Source organism: Homo sapiens, chromosome 7 (genome assembly GCF_000001405.40).
Source record: "Homo sapiens chromosome 7, GRCh38.p14 Primary Assembly".
NCBI lineage: Eukaryota > Metazoa > Chordata > Mammalia > Primates > Hominidae > Homo > Homo sapiens.
Window position 1 is genome coordinate 157057639 of NC_000007.14, and position 24042 is coordinate 157081680.

At 45.1% G+C, this 24042-nt stretch overlaps 2 annotated features.

Annotated features, from left to right (window-relative positions):
- Positions 20221-20778: an enhancer, noted in NCBI's record as "H3K4me1 hESC enhancer chr7:156870553-156871110 (GRCh37/hg19 assembly coordinates)". NCBI's record gives its function as "activates a minimal SCP1, AML or CMV promoter by ChIP-STARR-seq in naive H9 embryonic stem cells {active_cell/tissue: H9 hESC(naive)}" and the evidence as "EXISTENCE:reporter gene assay evidence [ECO:0000049][PMID:30033119]".
- Positions 20779-21335: an enhancer, noted in NCBI's record as "H3K4me1 hESC enhancer chr7:156871111-156871667 (GRCh37/hg19 assembly coordinates)". NCBI's record gives its function as "activates a minimal SCP1, AML or CMV promoter by ChIP-STARR-seq in naive H9 embryonic stem cells {active_cell/tissue: H9 hESC(naive)}" and the evidence as "EXISTENCE:reporter gene assay evidence [ECO:0000049][PMID:30033119]".

A 24042-nucleotide genomic window follows, 5' to 3' on the forward strand; every position in this document is an offset into this window, starting at 1 on the left:
TTCCTGAACAATGGCAACCCTCCAGAGTTATCTTGGACCCAAGTCTAGTTCCAGAACAATCAACTCTAAGTTGTTTAAGAAGGCTGTGTACATTAAAACAGCCATAAATCATGGTAATGAATCCCGCAGCATGGAGAGAAATCCATTACACATCTGATACGTGGGGCTATTACTTCAGGACTTGATGCATGCACCTATGAGGGCATAAAATGCAGTATTAACAAACTGCCCATGAACAGAAAACATTGCACTTTCCGGGGGTGGAGGGGAGAGAACCTACCCAACATGGAAATGCTTTATTATTATAAAATTTCTTGAGGCCAACAGTTCAGCAAGGAGGATGTATAAACACATCACTTCGCCTCTTGGAAGGATTTCAGCATAATTAGCTGAGCCCCTTCAGCAAGGTGAAGTGCATCCCAAGTCTCTGCGGAGCCATAAAAAAGCAAGAAGTGGCAGTGGTGTGTGCACATGAATTCACAGCATCTGAAAATGCTTCCTACTTTCCAAACTAAATGGGTCTGCCTTTGAAACGGGCAGGAATGGCAGGGAACGTCCTGAGCCTTACCAAAAAGCACAGGCACTCTGAGCAGAAGTATCGGCGCCAGGCCCGTGCCTGCCAGGCAGCCCAAGGTCAGCTGTCTTCTGAAATCCTTGCAGTTGGAAGTGAAAATGCTGATGCATTTCGGCACAGTCCTCATTTGATTTCCATTTGCAAATGAACAGGAATGATTTCTTCCACTTACCCTTGGTGATTAACCGTTGGCAATCAACATTGCACAAACAGATGAGCTTGCCCCAGTTTTCAACTTCATAAATTGGACACTTCAGAAATGCCACATCTCAGGCTTCTGGGTCAAGTGTGAGCAAGCCCAGGGTAAGTCTACACGTCCTTAACCTTGCGTGTGGGTCTGGCGGGTTCTCATCTTGAGTCTCTTCTTTTCCGTTTTTAGTCCTGCTTTGGGTTCTTTTGAGTGGGAGGTCACCATGGACAGTCACCTGGGCGACCTTCACAAAGAGCACTGTGATGTAAGAAATGGCAGGTCTAATCGGCGGTGTGCATTCCAGGGTCAGGACACCTCCAGGATTGTTCCGGAGGATCAACTCACTTTGGCTATTAGGGAATTCTGGTTCCCCACTAACCCTGGAAGTTTTCAGAGCAGTGTCCCCACAGTGGTCCCTGGGTGGACACCTTCTCCTTGAGGTGCCCATGGGGAAGGCGTGGGGCAGATGTGGAGCTGCTTCTCGACACTCCCTCTGAGCTTCCTCAGCACAGGGAGCATCCCAGGCCCGCACTGGGTCACAGCGAGGGAGGCAGCCACTGAGACACTAAAGGACCCGTGTCCGTGAAGGAGGAATGAAAATCCACATCTGCAAGAGAAAACTTCCGGGTCCACACGTTACTCTTACTAAACAAATGTGACCACAGAAAGTCTATTTACGGTATTCAGGCTGGAACAAGCGTTTCATCATCGCCTGGGTCCCCCAAGGGGGAAAGGAGACAACTTAGGACAGAAATGTGATGGATGGGAGGTGGTTAGAAGAAAGGAAAGGATATGTGTCCCCACCCAAATCTCATCTGAATTGTAGCTCCCATAATCCCCTCGTGTCATGGGAGGGATCCAGTGGGAGGTAATTGAGTCATGGGGGCAGGTTTTTCCCATGCTGTTCTTGAGATAGTGAACAAGTCTCATGAGATCTGCTGGTTTTATAAAGGATGCTGTCTTGCCTGCCGCCATGTTAAGACATGCCTTCGTTCCTCCTTCACTTTCTGCCATAACTGTGAGGCCTCCCCAGCCACGTGTAACTGTGAGTCTATTAAATCTCTTTTTCATTACAAATTACCCAGTCTCGGGTATTTCTTCATAGCAGTATGAAAATGGACTAATACAGGAAGTCATTTGGCAATTCTAAGAATCAGAATTACAGTGGGAATTCTAAGATCTACAAATTTTACAAAACAGGGCAGTTTTATTCCTGAGTCCCTCCTGGTTTTCCCCCTTTCTCTCTGGTGGCTCCTGCTCCCTCTCCATCCTGCCCAGCAGGGCCCTCCCACAATCTGCACGCCCCACCCATCACCGACCTGCATAGAACCTTCCCCCAGAATAGTTCCTGAACCTGTTGCTCTTCGTCCTCACCTCTCTAGTCTCAGCCCTCATCAGCACCTGCCTGAGCTTTTATAATAGTCTGTGGGTCTCCCTGCACTTATTAAACGTGGGTTTTCCTCAAGGTTCAGGCCTTGCTCTCTTCTCATTCTAAGCTATCCTCCTGTGCAACTAATCTAGTTTCATGGTTCTAACTCCCAAATCTATATCTTTACCCAAAACTTCTTTTTAGAACTCTAGATGGAAATGTTCAACTACTTATCTGATGTCTCCGCTTGGATGTCTCACAGGCCACTCAAATTCACCCTGTCCCAAACTGGACTCCTCCTTACTCCCAAACCTGTTCCTCTTCTGGTGTGGTGTCCGGGGAGGCACCATCCTCCAGCCAGCTAAGAAGCCAGACACCCAGGAGACATGCTGGCATTTTCCCTCATGCTCCACCTTCTCACCAACCCACCACCGAGATGCATGGAGTCCTCCATCCCAACCGCTCCTGAACCTGCTGCTCTTCACCCCACCATGGTCTCTGCCTTCCTCAATAACTTCCTAAGCTTTGGCAATGGCTTGCTTGTGTCCCTGTATTGATTCTGGCTTTCTCAAATCCATTTCCCAAACTTTTCAACAACAACGAAGTCTTCTGATAGTTTCCTGTGCACACAGAGTCAAATCCGAAGCTTATAATGTGGTAGACAAAGTTCTGAGTGATTTGGCAACAACAGAATGGACAAATAAATCACGATGTAGTAATTCAGTGAAACGCCATACAGCGAAGAGAACAAACCAACCATGGCTACACACAACAATGCGGACGAAGATCTCAAAATACTTCAAAACGTTTTCTTTAAAAGTGGATTGTGTCGGCTAGGCACGGTGGCTCATGCCTGTAATCCCAGCACTGTGGGAGGCCAAGGCGGGAGCATCACCTGAAGTCAGGAGTTCCAGACCAGCCTGGCCAACATGGCAAAACCCCATCTCTACAAAAATTAGCCGGGTGTGGTGGTGGGCGCCTGTAGTCCCAGCTACTCAGGAGGCTGAGGCAGGAGAATCGCTTGAATCTGGGAGGCGGAGGTTGCAGTTAGCTGAGATTGTGCCACTGCACTCCAGCCTGGGTGACAAGAGCAAGACTCTGTCTCAAAAAAAAAAAAGATAGATTGTGTCTACTGAAGCTTAGCAAATAATAAATATAACAAAAATAAATGAAAACCACAAAGGAAGAAGAAAAAAGTAGGAAAAAAGAAAATATGAAAAAAAGAAAAAGAAAAAAATGGATTGTAGTCTGGGCAATATAGTGAGACTCCATCTCTACAAAAAAAAAAAATTTAATTAGCCAGACATGGTGGTGTGCACCTGTAGTCCTAGCTACTCAGTAGGCTGAGGTGAGAGGATCTCTGGAGCTCAAGAGGTTGAGGCTGCAGTGAGCCAAGATCATGCCACTGAACTCCAGCCTGGGTGACATAGCAAGACCCTGTCTCACCCCTTGCAAAAAAAAAAAAATCGTGTTTGATAGTGGAAGAGACCATGCATATGTGGGAATGGGGTTTTGTAAGAAATCTCTCTACCTTCTCCTCCATTTTGCTTTGAACCTATTTTCTAACTGCTGGAGTGCAGTGGTACGATCTCAGCTCACTGCAACCTCCACCTCCCGGGTTCAGGAGATTCTGCTGCCTCAGCCTCCCAAGTAGCTGGGATTACAGGCGCCCACCACCATGTCCAGCTAATTTTTTTATTTTTAGTAGAGACAGGGTTTCACCGTGTTGGCCAGGCTGGTCTCGAACTCCTGACCTCAAGTGATCCACCCACCTTGGCCTCCCAAACTGCTGGGATTACAGGCCTGAGACACCACACCTGGCCCTACCCCCTATAATAACTTTTTTTTTACAGTTTCCTTTATTATTTTTGCCTCTTTATCCTTTCTTTTTATCTCTATCTTCATATTAGAGGCTTTCCTCAAATGTCTTGTGATCTTTGGCTATCAGCTCACATTTGAGAATGAGATACTAAAAATCTATTGAAAGCTTCATGTGTGTAGTAGATTAAGATAGCCACAAATTATTTCTCAAACTCCTGGCCTCAAGTGATCTGCCCACCTCGGCCTCCCAAAGTGCTGGGATTACAGGCACGAGCCACCATGCCTGGCCTGCCACAAATTATTTCTATTTCTCTTATTGAGAGGTGGACCTAATCTCCCTTCCCTTGAACTTAGATCCTTAATGACTTCCTTGACCAATGGAATATAGTAGAAGTGACTTCTAAGGCTTCCAAGATCATAGAAAGTCCTGTGACTTCTACCCAGGCTTCTTGGCATTCTTGCTCATGGAGTTCAGCCACCATGCTGTGAGGAAGCCCAAGCAGCGCCCTGGAGGGGCCCATGTAGAGAGGCACCAAGGCCACTGGCAACTTCCTGGATTGTTCTGCCAGCCTGCAGCCACATGAAGGAGCATTTTGGAGGCAGATCCTCTGGCCCCAGCCGAACCACTCCAGATGACATCATGTGAAGGAAAAATGAGCTGTCCTCACTGAACCTGCCCACATTCCCGATTTGTATGGAATGTAAGTGATTGTTGTTGTTTTAAACCACTACATTTTGGGGTGGCTTGTTACACAGCAATAGACAACCATTCACCTCCTGCCTGGGTGCCAAGTGGAAGGTGGCAAAGCATGTTGCCACCCCGGTCTGAGACTCATCTGCTCTTCCCACCTCCTTCCACACTCGGTGTCCTCATGTAAGAAGTCCCTTTAGTTCAATTTCTCTAGAGATCTCCAGTCTCCTGAAGAGGGCATTGCAGGTGGGGGAGGGGACAGGCAGGTCTCACATCAGTGCATCCACATTTCCAAACCATCCTGTGTTTGATGTACACGTGGCAAATAAACACAGGAAGAGTTGTTCAACATTGTCCTCCATCAGAGACATGCAGGTGAAAACCGCCACAAGACATCACTGCACATCTATTAGAAAGGCCAAAATCAAAAACCAATAACACAAATGCTGGCAAGGATACTGAGAAACAGGACCACTTATACATTGCTGATGAGAATACTCACTGGTAGGGACAGCTGCTGTGGACTATAGTTTGGCAGTTCCTTTTAAAACTGGGAATGGACTTACTATGTGACCCAGCTTTTGCACTCCTGGGCATATATTCCTGAGAAATGAAAACTGATAGAAACTTGTGAATGAATGTTCATACCAGCTATATTTGTAATAGCTCCAAATTGGAAACTACCCACATGTCCTTCAATGAATGAATGGTTAAATAAATGGTGGGTCATCCATACAAGGCAATGGCATTTAGCAACAAAAGGTAACGAGCTATTGATATGTACAACAACTTAGATGACCCTCAAAGAAATCGGGTTGCATGGGAAGCACATCTCAAAGGGACACAGACTGCATTCAGTGTTAATGTAATTATCAGATTGGTGGTTGCCAGGAGTTAGGGATGGGGCAGAGAGGGAGGGTGTCTGGGGAGTCCAGGGGAGTCCGTGGTGCTAGTCTAGTTGAATGCCTGATTGTGGTGGTTCCATGAAGTTACGTGTGTGGTAACGTCTTAGAGCTACACACGCGCATGCACACACGAGTGCACGTTTACTGATGAAATCTGAAAAAGATCCGTGGATTGTACCAGTTTCCTGGTTTTGATATTATTGTATAATTGGGTAAAAATTCAACACTGGGGGAGGCTGAGTGGAGAGTAGGTGGAAACTTTCTATACATTTCTTCACAATTTCTTGTGAATCTGTAATTATTACAAAAGTAAAAGTTATGGCCAAGTGTGGTGGCTCACACCCATAATCCCAGCACTTTGGGAAGCTGAGGTGAGCGATCACTTGCGGCCAGGAGTTTGAGACCTGCCTGGACACCATAGTGAGACCCCATCTCTAAAAACAAAAAGCAAAAGTTAATTAAGAAATAGGCTTGGCTTATGGACAATGATAAATAAATAGTAACTTTAAAGAAACATGTGGACAAACTTCCCTGTACAATCAAAATCTCTTCTGTCAACCTTTATGCTCCTCACCGTATACTCTTCAGTTTCCTGGGAAGAGCAATGCCTTGTCCCTCTGAGTCAGTGATGGCTACGTCTCCTCCAGCATCTGTTTTCTTTTTCATCTTTAGTGATAGAATCTCTGATTCTTCCAACAATGATAGACTGGATTAAGAAAATGTGGCACATATACACCCTGGAATACTATGCAGCCATAAAAAAGGATGAGTTCATGTCCTTTGTAGGGACATGGATGAAATTGGAAATCATCATTCTCAGTAAACTATCACAAGGACAAAAAACCAAACACCACATGTTCTCACTCATAGGTGGGAATTGAACAATGAGAACACATGGACACAGGAAGGGGAACATCACACTCTGGGGACTGTTGTGGGGTGGGGGGAGGGGGGAGGGATAGCATTAGGAGATATACCTAATGCTAAATGACGAGTTAATGGGTGCAGCACACCAGCATGGCACATGTATACATATGTAACTAACCTGCACATTGTGCACATGTACCCTAAAACTTAAAGTATAAAAAAAAAAAAGGAATCTCTGATTCTTAGCTAGATATTTACCCACCCAGAATTAAAAGTGACCTTTTCCAGTCTCTCTGGGATCTACATGGGTTTGTAAGGAGGGCTATCTGCAGTCTCTAGAATGGACACTTCATGGGAAGCATCATGTCCTTTGCCTCTTTCCCCTTCCTGGAAGGTAGGCGATGGCTGGAGCTCAAGTATCCTCTTGAATAGAAGAGGTAGGAGCCACTATTATTCTGGATTTTCCATCCTCAGTCAATTCCATTCTTCACTTACACACCATCTCAGGCTTCTAAACATACCAACCTCAGCCCAGAACTCCTCTCTTGATATGGTTTGGCTGTGTCCCCACCCAAATTTCAACTTGAATTGTATCTCCCAGAATTCCCACGTGTTGTAGGAGGGACCCAGAAGGAGGTAATTGAACCATGGAGGCCAGTCTTTCCCATGCTATTCTCATGATAGTGAATAAGTCTCACAAGATCTGTGGGTTTATCAGGGGTTTCCACTTTTGCTTCCTCTCATTTTCTCTTGCCGCCGCCATGTAAGAAGTGCCTTTTGCCTCTCACCATGATTCTGAGGCCTCCCCAGCCATGTGGAACTGTAAGTCCAATTAAACCTTTTTCTTCCCAGTCTCAGGTATGTCTTTATCAGCAGCGTGAAAATGGACTAATACATCTGTCTTCCATCTTTCTGCTCAAATGATGCATCTTCTTTTTTAAGATCTTAGGTTAAATTCTGCTTCCTCCAGGAAGCCTTCCCTGAGCTGAAACTCAGATGAGTTATAAGCCCCTTTAGGGGTGACTTCTGGTTTTATGATAATTTCCCTTCACTGAGAACTTCCAGCTCTCTAAAAACAGAATTACAGGGAAAGGCCCCAGGAGCCATCTCTGTCTGTCACGTCTGACGAGGGACGGATGGACCCTGACCCAGCCTGGGCGAAGTGGCACTCTCTGCTCTGGGAGCTTGAGTTTGAGATCCAGCCTCCTCACGGGGTTGAGCCTGTGAGCCTCGACTAACTTGGGCACTGTGGACAGCCATGCTGTGTTACTCAACCTGAGGGGCAGGAAAAGCTTGTTTGCAGAGAGAAGAGAGTGAAGCTGACCCAGAGGCAGAACAGAAACAGGGTCTATGAAGAGCGGGTGTTCCCACTCCCTGGTTTCATCCCACCAAGATGGCTCTCTGTCTCTCTCCTTGGTTCACTCAAACAACACTATCACCTTATTGTCATGGTACTATATTCTACCCCACTTTTTCTCTACACCCCACCCAAATTGTGGTAAAGTATGCATAACGTAATATTTACCATCTGAATGATTTGTAAGTGTCCAGTTTGGAGGCGTTGGGTACATTCATATTGCTGCGCCACGACCGCTACTGTGCACCCACAGAACGCTCATCATCTTGCGAAACTAACACTCTACTACCTTGCTTATATAAGAAGCTGGCTTCAACTGGTTTCCAGTACTTGTAGGTAAGAGTTCTAAGGCATGTGGGATTCTGCAAGATGTGTCGAAGTCACCAAGAGTTCTGCAGTGTTTCTGTGAGAAGCTGTGGGCGAAAGGCGAGTTTGAATGGGATTGAGGTAGGTTTAAAGTTAGACTAAGAATGTTACTTCCTTAATGATAAGATGCTGTGTGTTTCTGAACAGGGGTAACAAGTGTAGAACTGGGTCTTGGGAAGTCGGATTCAGCACTGATGATACTCAGTAGTATAGCTTAAAGAAGAATATTTAAAAATGTTTTAATTGATATGTAATAATTGTACATGTCAATTAATGTATGGAGTACAGACTGTTTTTTGTTTTTGGCTTTGGTTTTTGTTGTTGTTGTTTGAGACAGAATCTTGCTCTGTCACCCAGGCTGGAGTGCAGTGGTGCGATCTCGGCTCATTGCAACATCCGCCTCCCGGGTTCAAGAGGTTCTCATGCCTCAGCCTCCCGAGTAGCTGGGATTACAGATATGTACCACCACACCCAGCTAATTTTTGTATTTTTAGTAGAGACGGGGTTTCGCCATGTTGGCAAGACTGGTCTCTAACTACTGGCCTCAAGTGATCCACCTGCCTTGGCCCCCCAAAGTGCTGGGATTACAGGTGTGAGCCAGCTTGGCTCACAAACCAATATACAATATATGTATATTTGATACATATATCAAAATATGTATACAATGTATAATAATAAAATCACAGTAATTAGCATATCCATCACTTCAAACATTTATCATTTCTTTGCATCGGGAGCATTCAAAATCATCTCTTCTAGCTATTTGAAAATACACAATAAGTTACTGTTAACTATCGTCACTTCACAGTGCTATAGAGCACTGTAACTTATAATGCCTATCTAGCTATAATTTTATATCCATTAACCTATTGCTCCTGTTTTTTTCTATTTCCGTGAAGAATGTCATTGATATTTTCATGGGGATTGCATTGAATCAGAAGATTGCTTTGGGTAATACAGTCATTTTAACAATATTAATTCTTTCAATCTGTAAACATGGAAGGTCTTTCTCTTTTTTGTATCTTCTTCAATTTTTTTCATCAATGTTTTGTAGTTTTTATTGTAGAGATCTTTCTCCTCCTCAGTTAAATTTATTTCTAACCTTTTTGTTTTTGTAGCTATTATAAATGGGATTGCTTTCTTGATTTCTTTTCAGCTAGTTCATTGTTGGTGTACAGAAACACTACTGATTTTGTATGTTGATTTTGTAACCTACAACTTTACAGAATTCATTGATCAGTTCTAAGAGTTTATTAGTGGAGTCTTTAGGATTTTCTGTATATAAGATCATGTCATCTGCAAAAAGGGACAATTTGACTTCCTCTTTTCCAATTTAGATGTGTTTTATTTCTTTCTCTTGCCTAATTGCTCTAGCTAGTATTTCCAGTACAATGTTGCATGAAAGTGGTAAAAGCAGACATCCTTGTCTTGTTTCAGTTCATAGATAGAAAGATTTCAGTTTTTCCCTGTTCAGTATGATGTTAGTTGTGGGTTTTGTTATTTACGGCCTTTATTGTGTTGAGGTACTTTTATGCCTACTTTGTTGAGTTTTTATCATGAAGGGACATTGAATTTTATCAAATGCTTTTTCTGTGTCTATGGAGAGGATCATTTGGTTTTTGTCCTTCATTCAGTTAACATGATGTATCACATTTGTTGATGAGGCAAACCATCCTTTCATTCCTGGGATAAATTCCACTCAATCATAATATAATCTTTGTGTTTGGTTTGCTAGTATTTTGTTGAAAATTTTTGTACCTATGTTTGTCAGGGATATTGGCCCATAGTTTTCTTTTTTGAGGGTGTGTCCTTGTGTGGTTTTGGTATCAGGATAATGCTAGCTTCGTAGAGGTAGTCAGGAATAATTTCCTCCTCTTCAATTTTTTGGAGTAGTTTGAGAAATTGGTGTTAGTTCTTCCAGAAAAGTTTGATATGCTGGTGTGATGGCTCATGCCTGTAATCCCAACAGTTTGGGAGGCCGAAATGAGAGGATTACTTAAGGTCAGGAGTTCAAGACCAACCTGGGAAACACAGGGAGGCCCTGTCTCTAAAAAAAAATCATTTTTTTTTTTTTGAGATGGAGTTTTGCTCTTGTTGCCCAGGCTGGAGTGCAATGGCGCGATCTCTGCTTACTGCAACCTCTGTCTCCCAAGTTCAAGTGATTCTCCTGCCTCAGCCTCCTGAGTAGCTGGGATTACAGGCGCCCGCCACCACACCTGGCTAATTTTGTATTTTTAGTAGAGATGGGGTTTCTCCATGTTGGTCAGGCTGGTCTCAAACTCCTGACCTCAGGTGATCCACCCGCTTCAGCCTCCCAAAGTACTGGGATTACAGGCGTGAGCCACCATGCCTGGCTACAAAAAAATAATTTAAAAAAATTAGCTGGATGTGGTGGTGCACTCCTGTAGTTCCAGCTACTTGGGAAGCTAAGGTGGGAGGAATGCTTGGACCCAGGGGTTTGAGGCTTCAGTGAGCTATGATCATGCCATTGCACTCCAGCCTGAATAACAGAGAGAGTCCCTGTCTCCCAGAAAAAAAAAAAAAAAATTGGTAGAATTCAGCAGCGAAGCCACCCAGTCCCGGGCTTTTTGTTGTTGTCGTCATTGGGAGGCTTTTCAATACTGATTCAATCATGATACTCATTATTTATCTGTTCAGGCTTTCTGTTGCTTCCTGGTTCAATCTTGGTAGGTTGTATGTGTCCAGGAGTTTATCCCTTTCCTCTAGGTTTTCCCATTTGTTGGCATATAGTTATTCATAATAGTCTCTAATAATTCTTAGCATTTCTGTAATATCAGTTGTAATATCTCCTTTTTTGTTTCTGATTTTGTTTGTCTTCTCTTTTTTCTTAGTTTGTCTAGCTAATAGCTTGTCAATTTTGTTTATCTTTTCAAAAAGCCAACTTTTCATTTCATTGATATTTTGTATTTTTGTCTCTATTTTGTTTAGTTCTATTCTGATCTTTTTTTTGGAAACAGAGTCTCACTCTGTTGCCCAGGCTGGAGTGCAATGGCACTATCTCAGCTCACTGCAACCTCCGCCTCAGTCTCCCATGTAGCTGGGAGTACAGGCATCCACCACCATGCCCAGCTAATTTTTGTATTTTTAGTAGAGACAGGGTTTTTCTATGTTGCCTAGGCTGGTCTTGAACTCCTCACCTTCAGGTGATCCACCCACCTTGGCCTCCCAAAGTGCTTGGATTATAGGCGTGAGCCACCATGCCCAGCCTATTCTGATCTTAATTATTTCTTTCCTTCTACTAATTTGGGGTTTCATTTGTTCTTGTTTTTCTAGTTCCTTAAGGTGAATTGCTAGGTTGTTTATTTGAAACCTTTCTCCATTTTTGATGTAGGCATTTATTGCTATAAACTTCCCTCTTAGTATTGCTTTTTCTGTATCCCGTACATATTTGGTATGCTGTGTATCTATCTTCATTGTTTTAAGGAATTTTTAAATTTTCTTCTTAATTTCATCATAGATGCATTGGTCATTGAGGAGCAGGTTATTTAATTTCCATATATTTGTATCATTTCCAAAAATCCTTTTGTTACTGATTTCTAGTTGTATTCCATTGTGTCTGAAAAGATACTTGATACAGTTTTGATTTTTAAAAATTTGTTGAGACTTGTTTTGTGGCCTATCATATAATCTATCCTGGAGAATGTCCCATGTGCTGATTAGAAGAATGTGTATTCTGCAGCTATTGGATGAAATGTTCTGTAAATGTCTGTTAGATCCATTTGGTCTAAATGGGTTTAACTCTGATGTTTCTTTGATGACTTTCTGTCTACACAATCTGACCAATGGTGATAGTAGGGTGTTAAAATCCCCAACTATTATTATATTGGGGTCTATTTCTTCCTTTAGCGCTAATAATATTGGCTTTATATATCTGGGTGCCCTGGTGTTAGGTGTAAATATATATTTATAACTGTTATATCCTTTTACTGAATTAATCCCTTTATCATTGTATAATGACCTTCCTTGTCTCTTTTTACATTTTTTACTTAAAGACTATTTTTTCCAAAATAAGTGTAGCTATTCATGCTAGCTTTTAGTTTTTGTGTGCATGGAATATATTTTTTCATCCTTCACCTTCAGTCCATATGTGTCTTTACAGGTGAAATGAGTTTCTTGTAGGCAGCTATAGTTGAATCTTATTTTTCTATCCGTCACCCAATCTATATCTTTTACTTGGGGGATTTAAATTGTTTATATTTAAAGTTGTTATTGATAGATGAGGACTTACTCCTGTCATTTTGTCAACTGTTTCCTGGTTGTTTTGTATACTTTTCTTCCTTTTTTCCTCTCTTATTGGTTATCTTTGCAATTTGATGTTTTTCTGTAGTGAAATTATTTGATTCTTTTATCTTTCTCACGTGTGTATCTGCTTTACTTGTGAGTTTTATATGTTTTCATGATGGTAGGTATTTTCCTTGTGTTTCCAGATGTAGGACTCTCTTAAGCATTTATTGTAGGATCAGTCTAGTGGTGATGAATTCCCTCAGCTTTTGCTTATCTGGGGAAGACTTTCTCTTTCGTTTTTGAAAGTTAAGATTTGTGACCGGGCGCGATGGCTCACGCCTGTAATCCCAGCACTTCGTGAGGCCGAGGCGGGTGGATCATGAGGTCAGGAGATCGAGACCATCCTGGCTAACACGGTGAAACCCCATCTCTACTAAAAATCCAAAAAATTAGCTGAGCGTGGTGGTGGGCGCCTGTAGTCCCAGCTACTCGGGAGGCTGAGGCAGGAGAATGGCGTGAACCCAGGAGGCAGCACTTGCAATGAGCCAAGATTGCACCACAGCACTCCAGCCTGGGCAATAGAGTGAGACTCCATCTCAAAAAAAAAAAAAAAAAAAAAAAAAAGTTAAGATTTGTTAGGTATAGTATTCTTAACTGATAATTTTGATAATTGTCATTGAAATTGACATATTAATCTGTCAGTATTTATTTATTTATTTATTTATTTATTTATTTATTTATTTGAGATGGAGTCTCACTCTGTTGCCCAAGCTGGAGTGCAGTGGCACGATCTCGGCTCACTGCAACCTCCACCTCCCAGGCTCAAGCAATTCTCTGGCCTCAGCCTCCCTAGTAGCTGGGACTACAGGCACATGCCACCACGCTCAGCTAATTTTTTGTATTTTTGGTAGAGTTGGTGTTTCACCATGGTGGCCAGGCTGATCTCGAATTCCTGACCTCGGGTGATCTGCCCTCCTCAGCCTCCTAAAGTGCTGGGATTATAGGCATGAGGCACTGCACCCAAGCTGTCAATATATATTAAAAATATATACTCAGCACTTTGAATAAATCATCCCATTCTTACCTGGCCTGTAAGGCTGCTACTGAGAAATCTGCTGTTAGTCTGATGGAGGTTTCCTTATATCTGACTTAATGCATTTTTCCTTGCATTGTCTTTTCTCTGTCTTTGACTTTTGACAGTTAGATAATAGTGAGGCTTGGAGAAGGCATTTTTGGGTTGAACCTGTATAGAAAATTTTGAATTTCCTGTATAGGAAATTTTGAATTTCCTGTATTTGGATGTCCATACCTCTCCTATGATTTTGGAGATTTTCAGTTATTATTTAATTTGTTTTTCCTATCTCTTCTCCTGTGGAACTCCCATAATGGAAACACTTTTTCACTTAATGGTGTCCCGTATGTCCTGTAGGTTTTTTTCATTCTTTTTTCTTATCTAACTGGATTATTTCAAAAGATCTGTCTTGAAGTTCAGAAGTTATTTCTTCTTGATCTAGTCTATTGCTGAAGCCCTCAATTGTATTTTTTCTTTCAGTGCCAGGAGTTCCATTTCATTCCTTTTCATGATAACTTTTTGTTAAATTTCTCATTCAAATTATGAATTCTTTTCCTGCTTCTGTTGAATCATCCGTGTTCTGTTAAATCTTGCTGAGTTTCCTTAAGATGATTGTTTTGAATTCCTTTCCAGGCATTTTATAGATTTCTTTTTCTTTGAAGTCAGTTACTAGAGGATTATTGTGTTCCTTTGAAGATATTCTGTTTCCTTGCTTTTTCAGGTTTCTTGTGTCCCTATGTTGATATCTGCACATCTGGTGGAACAGCCACTTCTTCCAACTTTAATGGAGTAGCTTTTGTAAGGAAAGATTTTTCCTGTAGATGTGTCCAGTGGTGTCAATTGGGTAAGGTACTTTGCCTTTGGTTCTGGGTAGCCATAGTAGTATAGTCTTCATTTGATTTCTTCAACCATAATCAGTGTCAGTGGTGTCTGTGAGTGCCCGGGTGGCCTAGGCTGCAGTTGTTTGTGAAAGCTATAGGATGGCTGTGTTGGGAGCAGGGATGCTGGACAGGCCAGTCCTCAGGCCCTGCAGTGGGTATGTGCAGGTATCTGGTGACTCCACCTTTGGAGGGGGCAGGGTCACTAGTGAGGCCAGCAGTGGGTCCCAGTCAAGCAGCTCTCAGGTTCTGGGGAGCAAGTGCATCAGCTTCCACTGTCCTGGAGGCAATCTCCTCTCTGTGCCGGACTGCCTATGCCTTCAAGTGCACACTGATGCTCAGGTGCCAGAGTCATGGCTGCACTGCTGGGTCCAGCTGGTGTTGTAATGCCGCAGTCTTCTGTGTAGATGTGGAGGACTGTAAGTGGGGTCCCAGGGATGTGGTGATGTGGGGGCTATTGGGACTCAGGGCAAGATGCACTCAGATGGTGGCTCTGTTCTCACATTGATGACATGCTGTGGTGTCCTGGGAGTGGGGGACCCAGTGTGAATTTCCTAAAAAGGAATATTAAAGGAAAGGAGATGACATCATTAATTCAACAAGTATTTATTGAGCTCCTGCTATATAGCAAGCCCTGAAAATACAACAAGGAATATAATAGATAAAGTCATTGCCACCATTAAATTAACATTCTACTTGGAAAAGACACGTAATGTATAAGTCAGGCCGAACACGGTAGCTCATGCCTGTAATCCCAGCACTTTGGAGGCCACGGCAGGCAGATCACCTGAGAGAGCTTGACCCTAGCCTGGCCGACATGGTGAAACCACGTTTCTACTAAAAATACCAAAATTAGCTGGGTGAGGTGACACATGCCTACAGTCCCAGCTACTCGAGAGGCTTGAACCCAAGAGGATCACTTGAACCCAGGAGGCAGAGGTTGCAGTGAGCCAGGATTGTGCCACTACACTCCAGCCTGGGTGACAGAGTAAGAGTCCATCTCTAAAATAAATAAATTAATTAAATAAAAATATTTTTAAAAAAATTAAAGAAAAAAAATAGGGCCAGGAGCAGTGGCTCATGCCTACAATCCCAGCACTTTGGGAGGCCGAGGCAGGCAGATTGCTTGAGCTCAGGAGTTCAAGACTAGTCTGGGCAACATAGCAAAATCCCGCCTTTATAAAAAAAAAAAAAAATTAGCTGGGTGTGCTGGCGTGAACCTGTAGTCCCAGCAACTCAGGAAGCTGAGATGGGAGGATTGCTTGAGCCTAGGAAGAAGGGTTGCAGTAAGCTGAGACCGTGCCACTGCACTCCAGCCTGGGTGACAGTGAGACTCTGTCAAAAAAAAAAAAAAAAAAAAGGCGTGTAATGTAAAAGTAAACAAATGCACACAGTAATTTCAGATAGCAAAAATTATTTTTAAAGCAATGAAATGAGATGTTGTCCTAGTCTGTTTTGTGTTGCTATGAAGGAATGCCCGAGTCTGGGTAATTTACAACTAAAAGAGGTTTATTTGGCTCATGGTTCTGCAGGCTGTACAAGAAGCATGGGTGCTAACATCTGGTCAGCTTCTGGTAAGAGCTTTTCTGTTGCATCAAAACATGGCAGAGAAGTTCCAGTGGGAAGCAGTCATGTGCAAAGAGGAGCCAAACCTAAGGGATGTCCTGGCTTACAGCCCACTTTCATGAGAATTAATCCATTACCTCAAGAACCAATCCAGTTTCCCGAGAGCAAGAACTCAGTCACTATCACAAGAACAGCACCAACCCATTCATGAAGGATCCATCCCCCTGACCCAGACATCTCCCACTAGGCTCCACCTCCCAACCACCACATGGGGGATTAATTTCAACATGCAATTTGGTGGAGACAAACAAACCACATTCAAACCATAGCAGATAGTAAGATAAATAGTGACAGGAGAGGGTCTATTTTAGACTGGAATTAAAGTGGGGAAATGGAACTGATAAATAGGAAAGATTTTAGCCAAGAAAGAATTTGAATCATTCCAGTTAAACCCATTATGGTCCATCTACTTGCATTAAAGCTTCATGGTGTTGGGCATTATACCAGCCTATAGTCCAGTCATCTCTTGCTTAGACGGAGATAGGGGATTGAACAGGAGGCCAGGGGTTAGGCGGTGCTGTAGTGTAGGCAGCACTACAACTTGCTGAATAAGAAAATTGTAGGGGAATCAGAATGTCTGAAGGAGAATTCATTTTGGGGAGAAGTTGATTCATTCCGCTTGAACTTGGTGGTTTTGGTGTATTCATGGGATAGCCAAATGGAAATGTCCAGCAGATCCCAAGGTCAAGCCTGAAAACTTCAGGTCTAGGAGCATCCTCAGCTCCTTCCTCTCCCTCTACCTCCTCACCCACATGGACACCCAGTGCTGTGGCAGCTCCCTCTTCTCAAGCCAACTGTGTCCTCAAGCTCCATCCCACTGCCATGGCCTAAAAAGCGGCTTGGGATCCTCGCTGCCTGCATCTCGGCAGCTGCCACCTTCTCCGATGTCTCTTGGGGTGTGAGGCACACAGTAGATGCTTTATAAATGTTGGCTTTGTATGAAAGGAAATCAGAAAAGTATGAAAAGAGAGGAGTGTCAAGGTGCTGAATTAGGAGTTGGCAGCATTTTTACTTATTTTTAATTTTGTTATATTATGAAAGTAAAAGAATAAAAGAATGGCTACTCCATCGGCAGAGCAGCCAGCGTTTTTATTTTTATTTTTCTAGACTGGTAAGAAGAGGAGGCTGATGGGTTACCAAATGCAACCACAGTAAGGGCATCTTGGCACCTATGGGCCTAATGCCATGGTGTTCTGCTGTCTACAGAGAGGGATGGAGAACGTGGTGAGGATAAAGGGCAGCTTGGGGCTTTAAGGAGTGGAGCGTCAGCAAGTCCTCAGCAGCCCACACCCATGTTCTGGGGCCATGTTTTGGTTTAGGTTTATACCCCATTCTCCTCTCCAACCTCACCACCTTCCTCATTATTTAACAATCATCTGCTGACCCTTAAATCACTAAGCAATTAGCGTGGTGTCAGGGAAAGTCATCGCTGAGTGAGCTGCAGCAGAGAAGGAGGAGATTGAGGCTCAGAGATTGAAAGTCACTTGTCCGAGGTCATACAGTGGGTTAGGAATGGCAGATGACAGGGTAGGTTGTGGTTTTTTTTTTTTATCACATCATCCTGCTTCAAAATTTGAAACAGTTTTGACACCTCTGGGTGTGTCTAAGCACTTGCACTGCTAGCCCATCCCAGAATGGATCCCCTCCTTCCCTCCCTGTACCCCCTTCAGACAAGATTTACTGAAGTCAAGTGAACCTTGGTTCAACCTTGTTCGTAGGTTCTAAGTGGTCGTTTCATTTAAGACATTTAACTAAAAGCCCTTTCCATAGAACCAACTCCTGCAGGCGTGCTGCCAGCAATTAATGAAAGATGATAAAATAATAAAAGAAGTAATACATTAACTATATTATCCTTGCACATTTGGGCAGTCCTTTTCATTATATCCTCTTTATGGACATTCTCCAGCAACATTTGAAGAGCTACTTTATTGCTGTTCTGCGACTGTTTGGGTTTCCAGACATTAACGGGCTCCTTAAACGCTAATGCTCTGCTGGCTCCCCGTCTCTATCGGGTGGGTTGGATGCAAATGCTCGGTGGGGTGCATTCCATCTGCACCTTTCCCTCTCTCTGCTTGGAGAGGCAGCTGGAAGAGAACTTGGGATGACAGATTTCATTTTTGGACTCTCAGCCTCTGAAAGAAATTGGTTTGTTAATTAAGAGAAATGATACAATTGGCCTCTCTCTGTAATTTGCTTAAAGAACAATTTGGTCTAGGAGCTGAGCGTCCCTGTGGGGACTTACGATTTCCAGGTCACAGTGTGTCGTGGGCATGACTGAGGTCTTTCCTGCCCTGAGCAGCAAAGCCCATGGGGACACCTGCGTGTCTGCCCCTCTCCTCTATGGAATCGGCCCTCCCCACCTTCCACCCCAGCTTTTACCAGATTCCCTAGCACCAGTGTCTGAAATTATAGTCCTACACGTTGCACCTGAGGCCTAAGCACTTCCTTACTAAAAGAACTCTAATTTTGGAGGAGGGGAAATATGCCTGACTAAAACGCCAACCTGCCAAAGACTCTTTGCAGCTGTGGGGGCCATGTCTCACCATTCTGACCGATGGGATGTGAGGTGAGGTATGGGCAGGATGTCTGGGACAGTTCAAGTGACCATGTGGCACAGCTCTGACCAGCGAGACATGAATAGAAGTAGAGGTGCGATGTCTGGGAAGGTTCTGCTAGCCTGACACAGAGCGCACTCCTTCCTCCCCTTCCTTCCCTTCCCTTCTTTTCTCTGTCTGGAACCAGGGCAGGTGTAACTCCTGGATAGGCAGCCAGCCTGCATCTTTGTTTTTTGAGGCAGAGTCTCACTCTGTTGCCCAGTCTGGAGTGCAGTGGCACGATCCAAGCTCACTGCAGCCTTGCTCTCTCATGCTCAAGTGATCCTCCCACCTCAGCCTCCCTAGTAGCTGGGACTGCAGGCTCGCACCACCACACCCGGCTACATTTTAAAATGTTTTGTTGAGACAGGATCTTGCTATGTTGCCTAGGCGGGTCTTGAACTCCTGGGCTCAGGCAATCTTCCTGCCTCAGCCTCCCAAAGTGCTGGGGTTACAGGTGTGAGCCACCGCCCCCAGCCCAGCCTGCTCCTTGGAACCACCAAGTGACATCCATGAGGCTGGAAGCACCTTCACCAGGGAGGACGGAGCAGACAGACAGAAAGGGTGTGAGTCCCTGGCTGTATTTTTGAGCTGCTGCACCTGCCATGGGTTGCCAACATCAGAACTTCTTGTAATGTGATACGAAGGGGCTGCAGGTGCTGAAGCCACTGTTGGGAAAGCTTTCTGTTACTTGCAGGGGGTTGCAGTCCTCACGGGTACAGGATCTCAGGAGCGAGCATGGGGCTGGACCAGTGCAGTGGTCCCTCTATAAGCCTGGGGAGGACCGAGTGTTGGCCATGGTCTGCTCTGGCCAGAGCCAGCATCCTCTCCATTCCTTCTTCTGGCCTACGCTTGACTCTCATGCCTCCTCAACTCCTGTCCTGTCACCCTCATGCTGAGCTGTTTGGGCAACGACTCTGACCTCTGCAGCCCTGGCCTTCACCAGGACGAGGAGCCTCTCTCCTTCTCATTCCTGTGTTCCCACCTTGGCCGTGGCTTCCAGTCCTGACCGTGTTGATAAGGGGGGCCCCAGCCCTCACTTCTGCCTCCAGCAGACAGTGGCTCATCAGAGGCAGAGCCTGTGGCCTGAGTGGGCCGAGGGTAAGACAACAGTCCCGGAGGGCAGCAGTGCGTGTCCTGATGGCCAGAGCGCGGCCGCCTGACAAGGAACACACTCTGTAGCCTTCCTGTGTCTCCCTTCCTTCCCCAAATCCTCACTACAGGAACTTCACTGGCTTTTTTTTATTTTTCCTAAGCCAAGGAAATGAGTGAGCCTGGAAAAAAAAAAAAAAGAGTACCTTGGGAAGAAAAGAGGGTGTTGGACTCATACGACGGGACTCATTGGTGGTCTCATATGAGCACTGTGAGAATAGAAGAGTCACTAGTAACTCCCACACACGTTTTATTTTATTATTTTATTTTTTGAGAGACAGAGTCTCACTTTGTCACCCAGGCTGGAGTGCAGTGGTGCAAAAATGGCTCACTGAAGGCTTGAACTCCTGGACTCAAGTGATCCTCCTGCCTCAGCCTCAGCCTCCCGAGTAGCTGGAACTACAGGCACGCATCACCATGCCTGGCTAATTTTTTAATATTTTGTAGAGATGGGTTCTCACTACATTGCCCAGGCTAGTCTGGAACTCCTGGGCTCAAGCAATCCTCCCACCTCGGCCTCCCAAGGGCTGGGATTACAGGTGTGAGCCACTGCACCTGGCCTCCCACCCGTTTTAGAATTGTCTTTTGTCATTGTATTTTCCAGCTATTTTTTATCGAGAACCCAATGTTCCCTGCGTTGAGTTGCTGGTCCCTTTGCCTGGCTGGGTTCTGGGAAGCCCAGTGCCTTTGCCAGTGTGGTTCCAGAATCCCAGTGTCCGGGGCCAAAGCCTGACTGGTTTTCACTCCTTTCCTTAGAGGGAGATGCGAGGCCCGCCAGTCTCCGCCCCCGGCCGTCTTCAGTGTCCTGGGTGCCTCCTTTCTTCTGGTGGAACAAGAGCAAGCGCAGCAGGAGACGCTGGGGAGGGAGAGGCCCAGCCCACGCTGAGGTTGGGGACACCGAAGTCAGAGAGTCCTTGTCAGGCAAGCTTGGGGGCAGGGACGGGAAGCGAACCCACGAGGTGCAGAGAGCAGAGGGCTCCCCTAAATCCGAAGCTATCCCCTGCCCTCCCTTCCTCGCGTGGCTTCCCGGGCGCGCTCTGCCTGTCTGCGGGGACTCCAGGCGTCCTTGTGTTTTCAGCTCCCGGCTCTTGCCCGCGCGTGTGGCCCGGCTGGGCGCTCGGGCTTCCTCCTCCCAGGCCCGCGGCGGCTTCCCGTCCTCGCAGGCGCGATCTTACCCCGGCCGGACAGTTAGGACGCGGTTGTGCTGACCTGAGGCTTGGCCCTGACTCCCGTGCACAGCGCCCGAGCTCCAGAGGCGGGGGATCTGAACACTGGCCTGTGAACCCCGAGAAAACCCCCGGTTTGCAGACCAGGTGTCCTTGTAGAGGAGGGCTTTGAATGCTACAGAGATTTCATCTTCAAAGCTCTTGGCAATAAGGGGTTTTTAAACTCATGACCCCCTGCAGAGAGAACCGACTAAAGAATCTAGCGGGGCAAACACCCACCCATACGTTGCCAATAAGAAAAGGTCCTCACTTTTACAACGCTTCAGCTCTACTGAGCAGTGAGATTGATTTGCTCGCTAGTGAAAACACAACCGGGGCCTGTATTTCCCATATCTGTATTTTGTGAATGCTTTTTCTTAGTATCTTTTAAATTTCTTTTTCATTTTGAGCTCGGAAGAAACCCTCATAACCTTTCAATGTAGAGATCTCATATTATTCACTATGGAAATCAAACAGCTTTGCCAGATTGGAACTGAAATGTCAATTAATTGTCAATTCTTCACATCAAGTAATTGATTAATTGGCACAATGTTAATCCCTAAATCAGTGGTAATAAATTACTTGGTTTTTAGTCTTGACCTTCAAAGTGCTAAAGCTCTTCAAATTGCCACTGTCCCTGCGGGAAATGACTGATGAAGCTACTCTCCTCCCATAATTCGTGTTGCTCCTAAACTTTCTACCTAATTGAGAATCACAGGAGTGCCTGGAAGCCGGTCTGCCAGAGAGCGCCAGCCTTGCCCAGACATCAGGTGGAAACTGGGCCACTGCCGGGCTGCAGTGACTTTCGGCTGATGATTTTTTTTTTCCTGCAAACCTAATCACTTTAATATCACATATAGTTAATTTAATAGGTGTCCTATTTATCACAAAATTTATGGCTAAACCACTGGGAAAGTGTTCTTTTCTCCTTTCTTCATTGGCCAGGCAGAACACGGAGTGAGTGGTGACTGTGTCTCCTGCAGTTTTTAACACCTGGTTTCCTCCTGTTACACCTTCACGTTTACACAGCCCATGTTCTCCTTGAGCAATGGCCGTGTGTCTTTAGATAAATGCCTTCAGCCTGACCCCAGATGGCTTCACTGGTTAACATTTTTATAGTCGGGGAAGCTTTGGGAATCGCTCTGGTACTCCCTTCTAAACATAGGCTTGGCCAGGCACAGTGGCTCACACCTGTAATCCCAGCACTTTGGGAGGCTGAGACGGGCAGATCACTGAGGTCAGGAGTTCAAGACCAGCCTGGCCAACATGAAAAAACCCCGTCTCTACTGAAATACAAAAATTATCTGGGTGTGGTGACCTGTCCCTATAATCCCAGCTGCTCAGGAGGCTGAGGCAGGAGAATGGCATGAACCCGGGAGGCGGAGCTTGCAGTGAGCTGAGATGGTGCCACTGGACTCCAGCCTGGGCGACAGAGCAAGACTCTGTCTCAAAAAAAATAAAAATAAAAATAAATTTTTTAAAATAAACATAGCCTTGTTCAGGAATATACCTGCTTTTGGTAAAAAATAAACACATGCTTGGATTTTTGCTTTTGCAGGACAGGCTCGGGGTGAAATTGTGAGGCAGGTCTACTCCCATGCCTTCAGCCCTCTATTGCGTCCTCTGTCTTTCCTGATGAGGTACAACACATAACTAAAATGTCACCTCTCAGGGCTGCTTGTGAATCAAGTCCTCTTGAAGAAGTCCCACAGCTGTCCCCTTGATGCCCGGGAGCCGCTGATGGGCAGCCCTGGCCCCTCTCCGCATCACTGTGGCCTCTCGTGTCACACTGCTCCACGGGCACCGTCCACAGGCTGCCGTGGGACTGGAACATGAGCCCCTCCAGGCAGGGGCAGTTCCTTCGTCAACTTATACCCACCAGGGCCAACCATGAAGAAGAAGCTGCATTATTTAAGCAGGTTACTCAGCCATTTAGAATTTCTCTGTCTGATTCCTTTTGAATTAGTTGACATAAGCCAGGAACAGTGACTCACACCTGTAATCAATCCCAGCACCTTGGGAGGCTGAGGCAGGAGGATTGCTTGACTCAGGAGTTCAAGACCAGCCTGGGCAACATGGCAAAACCCCCATCTCAACTACAAAATACAAAAAATTAGTTGGGGCTGGACACAGTGGCTCATGTCTGTAATCCTAACACTTTGGGAGGCTGAGATGGGTGGATCACCTGAGGTCAGGAGTTCAAGACCAGCCTGGCCAACATGGTGAAACTCTGTCTCTACTAAAAATACAAAAAAATTAGCCAGGCATGGTGGCTTGTGCCTGTAGTCTCAGCTACTCAGGAGCCTGAGGCAGGAGAATCACTTGAGCCTGGGAGGCAGAGGTTGCAATGAGCTGAGATTGTGCCACTGTACTCTGGCCTGGGCAATAAAACAATACTTCATATTAAAAAAAAAAATTAGTTGGGCATGGTGGTGCATACCTGTAGTCCCAGCTACCCTGGAGGCTGAGGTGGGAGGATCACCTGAGCCTGGGAGGTCGAGGCTGCAGTGAGCCATAATTGCATCACTGCACTCCAGCCTGGGCAACAGAGTGAGACCCTGTCTCAAAAAAAAAAAAAGTTAGCTGACATATTTTAATGAAATTTGACTAACATAAGTGTCAAAATAAGCATAAGCACATCAATAGGTCCATCGACCTTGCTAACACAAAATGGTGGCCAAGTAACGCTTTTAAATATACACATCATCTGTAAACCCCAGCGGTCTCCTGAGAGTGTGGGTGCGCTTTCAACGTTAGATGAGATCTGCTTCCATGGAGGGAAAGCTCTGCTATGTGACATGAGCCGCCACCAGCCATGCCAAGTGACCGCTTACTCCTTCAGCTCTAAGGCCAACCAGAAAGAGCTAGAATGATCTTCCTCCTGTCTGCATCTGGGCGGTCTCAGGAGGTTGTTAAGTGAACATTGTCCAATGTCCAAACACCCAGGTTCTCACCACCCGAGTGCCGGTCACTGTCTGTTTCTGAAAATTCACGCTCATCTCCCTGAGGGTGTCCCGTTAGCAAAATGAGGACAATGTTGCTTACCTCAGAGGGCTGTTTTTGAAAATTAGACAGTATATGCAAACATGTTGATAAAATGTTGCATTATGGATACGTTAGGTAGAGTTGT